Here is a 3,859-nt window from a genome sequence, read left to right as displayed (position 1 = left end):
ATAAAGTAGGTGTATTGGTTTGAAACCCTGGGACTGGTGACACACCATAGCAGCAGAGCATCAGACCTCCTCCCACAGAACAAAATGTGACTCAGACCTAGCATTTTCAAAAGCCAAATCCAGTCATAGAAGGCAGTCCAGATAGGCCCATTCTTTCATCTAACAACACACTAAGGAAGTCTGACATCATCAACAAGGAGGATTGATTAGGATCCCTAAGAACAATAAGCAGCCAAAAAAAGTGCTTTCCTTTCTTGCAGGACTGAGAATTTCCTTCCCCCACTGAGAGATACTGAGGGGACAGAGGCAAGAAGGATCTTGCAAAAACGAATGGTGTGGCCCAGAAAGTCTCTCTTTTCAGGGTCTGAGAGTTCCATACCCCTCTCAGAGACACAAGGGAAATCCTGAGACCCAGGTAAGGAGATCCCACCTCAACAAGGGTCCTGGCCCAACAAGCTCTCTCAATCCCCCTCAGGTAAGGCAGATCCTGCCAAAACAAATACCAAGCCAGAGAACCCTCCTCTCCCCCACAGGCCTCACAGTCTCTTCCCCTGCTGGGATACGAAGTGTCAGACAGGTACTATGGGCAGGAAGAGCCCAGCCACAGTGGATAGTCATTCTCAGAAAGTCTCTTTTTCTCAATGGGCCTGAAAATACCCTCTTCCACCCAGAGACACAGGGGCAAATGGAAGGCCTTTGTAGGAATTCTTAGGAACCAGTAATATTGTTAAGGAAACCTCTTCATCTCAGGGTACCTGGGACTCCCTTTTCCCATGGAAAGACACTGGCCAAGGAAAATCCCTTCTGCAACTATAGCCATTGCTGTCATGGACAAGTAGGAGATAAGTATCACATAAACTGAAAAAAACAAAATAACACAACAAAGCCTCTGAAAATATACTGTCATAGAAACCACAGTCCAGAAAAGTAGACCAGAATCTGCATGCTGACTATAAACAGAATGAAGATCTGATGAAATTAAACATACAAATAGACCCAGAATCTGCTGGAATAATAGAAGAAATATTCAGGATACAGTTGAAAATCACTGGTCACACTAAGAATAAAGAAAATCACAACTTAAATGAGAGGAAACAATCAACTGATGCCAACATTGAGACAAATCAGATGTTGTTAATCGTCGAATTATCTAACAAGGATTTCAAAGCACACATCATAAAAATATTTCAGCAGTGCATTACAAAGTCTCCTGAAACAAATGGAAAATAGAATATTTTGAAATGAAATGAGTTATAAAAAATGGAAATTTTAGAAAAATACATTAACAGAAAAAAAAGCTTGAATGAACTCTAAGAGAAAGAAGTCACTGAACTTTAGGATAGATCAACAGCATTCACCCACTCTGAACAAGAGAGGAAACAGATTTTTTTTTTTTTAGAGAGCCAAAATATATAATGATTTGCATCTTTGTAGCCCAACAAGAGAGAAGGGTTGAAAGACTATATAGGGAAATAATAGTTTAAAACATCCCAACTTGGTGCAAAACAGTAATTCGGAGATTCAATAATATGAATGTACTTTAATTAGATAAACTCAAAGAAATTCACATATCATAATTAAATTTCTGAAAACTAAAGACAATATTAAATACGGAAAGCAGCTAGAGAAAAATGATGCATTGCTGTTAGGAGAATACCAATATCCTAATGATAGTGGATTTCTCACCATAAATTATGAAGCCAAAATCTAAAGTGTCATAAGATCTTGTGGGAAGAACTGAAGAAGGTGATCTTGCTTCTGCACAGCCAGCTGCAATCCATTGAGGAACATGCCTCTGAGCCACCATTATGCCTGGCCATTTACAGGAATGCTTCACCTGCATGGTCATCAGCCCATTTAACCAGTTCTTTGAAGACGAATTGGACCCATTCAAGGTGCTGAAGGCAGCTGAGAACTAGAGAAAATAAGCCAACGGGGGTGTCACTGGGGGAGCTGGGGCCAAAAGCTCATCTCAGGCCATGGCCCAGACCAACTCCAATGCCACGGACAAACAGTTGTATAAAGAGTCTCAGAAAGACAGCAAGAACCCACTTGCCCCAAAAGTTGGCATGGTTGGCAAGAGGACATATAGTGCCCATGGAGGTTAAGAAAGAAGGAATAAGGTGAATTGGAAGAAGACCCAATCAACAACTGCAAGGTGAAGGGAAAATAATTGAGATAAGACGGGGAAGGGCAACCACCTCATGAAGGAAGATTTGAAAAACCACTTGAAAAGGGTGAAAGAGGAAAATTTTATCTGATAGACCTATCATTGACCAACCCATTCGAGGCTGTGGTGGCCTTGGAAGAAGTAGAGAGGGCTGTCAAAGTGAAATGGGCCAAGGGTATGGATTTTATTTTTATGGTAAATGTGAATTTGATAGGCATGCTGGTAGGCATGCTGGAAGGCATAGATCTAGCCTGAAGCACAAGGACAAACATGGAGGTAGTGGATTTTACAACTGGGGAACTGTGAATGATAAGTTAACTGACTTGGATTAATCAAATATGACCTAGGAAACACCTGAAGGTGAAGAACTTCCAGTGGCAGACACTGAAAATAAGGAGAAGGAAGTTTAAGAGGTAAAAAAGAGGGTCCAAAAGAGATGACTTTGGATAAGTGGAATGCTATTCAAAATAAGGACTGGCCAAAAGTAGAATTTAATATCCAAAAACAAAACAAAGGTACTGATTGATGGGCACTGGAAGAAGAGATGTGCGCTTCATAAATCAAAGAGTAAAGAGATTCATGCTGAACTTGTCATTAAGGACCATCGTTTCTGAAAGCCAGCAAATGATAAAATGTCTCAGCGGGAGATCAATTTTGGAGACCTCGGCCCTGGAGGACTTGGTGGGAGGGGAAGACAAGGTGAATGTGTGGTGGACCTCAGAACCTCAGCAGCAGGACTGACAAGTCAGGTGCTTCTGTTCCTGATATGGATGACCCAGAGGCATTTCCAGCTCTGGCTTAACTGAATGCCATAAAACAACCATGGTTCCTTTGTGGGATTTCCTGTTCAATGCCTTTGCATGCGTAAGGATTCGAAACAATGAAGAAATCATGTTTTAAAAAGGCTGTCATTCACACAATTCACACTTAAAGACTGAATTGTATCTGTTTTAAAAATGAACTTCTCGGCCGGCGCGGTGGCTCACGCCTGTGATCCCAGCACTTTGGGAGACCAAGGCGGGCAGATTACGAGGTCAGGAGATTGAGACCATCTTGGTTAACGCGGTGAAATTCCGTCTGTACTAAAAATACAAAAAATTAGCCGGGCGTGGTGGCGGGTGCCTGTAGTCCCAGCTACTCGGCAGGCTGAGGCAGGAGAATGGCGTGAACCCGGGAGGCGGAGCTTGCAGTCAGCCAAGATTGCGCCACTGCACTCCAGCCTGGGCGACAGAGCGAGACTCCGTCTTAAAAAAAAAAAAAAATGAACTTCTCTCACTACATAAAATTAACAAATATGGTAGTCAGTTTTGTATTTAAAAATGTATTGGTAGGTATGTTTTTATAAATACCAGAAATTATGCATTCTTCATGAATACTTTTGTATTGCTGCTTGCAAATTTGCATTTCCAAGCTTGAAATATAGGTGTGAAATGTGTATACTAGTTTAAAGCTTTCACTTCATTTATGTTTTTTTATTTTAAATTTTTTTGTGGATACATAGTAGGTGTGCATATTTATGGGATACATGAGATATTTTGATACAGGCATGCAACATGAAATATTCACATCAAAGTATATGGGATATCCGTCACCTCAAACATTTATCCTTTGTATTACAAACAAACCAATTATGCTCTTTATTTTTAAAATGTATAATTAGATTATTTTTACTATGGACACTCTGTTGTT

At 40.8% G+C, this 3,859-nt stretch overlaps 1 pseudogene; it reads left to right on the top strand.

Moving 5' to 3' along the window:
* Positions 1,723 to 3,647, top strand: SERBP1P2 (SERPINE1 mRNA binding protein 1 pseudogene 2; annotated as a pseudogene).

This window comes from Homo sapiens, chromosome Y, assembly GCF_000001405.40.
Source record: "Homo sapiens chromosome Y, GRCh38.p14 Primary Assembly".
In the NCBI taxonomy this organism is placed as follows: domain Eukaryota; kingdom Metazoa; phylum Chordata; class Mammalia; order Primates; family Hominidae; genus Homo; species Homo sapiens.
Note: the sequence above shows the minus strand (reverse complement) of the source record. Positions and strands in the feature narration are given on the sequence as shown.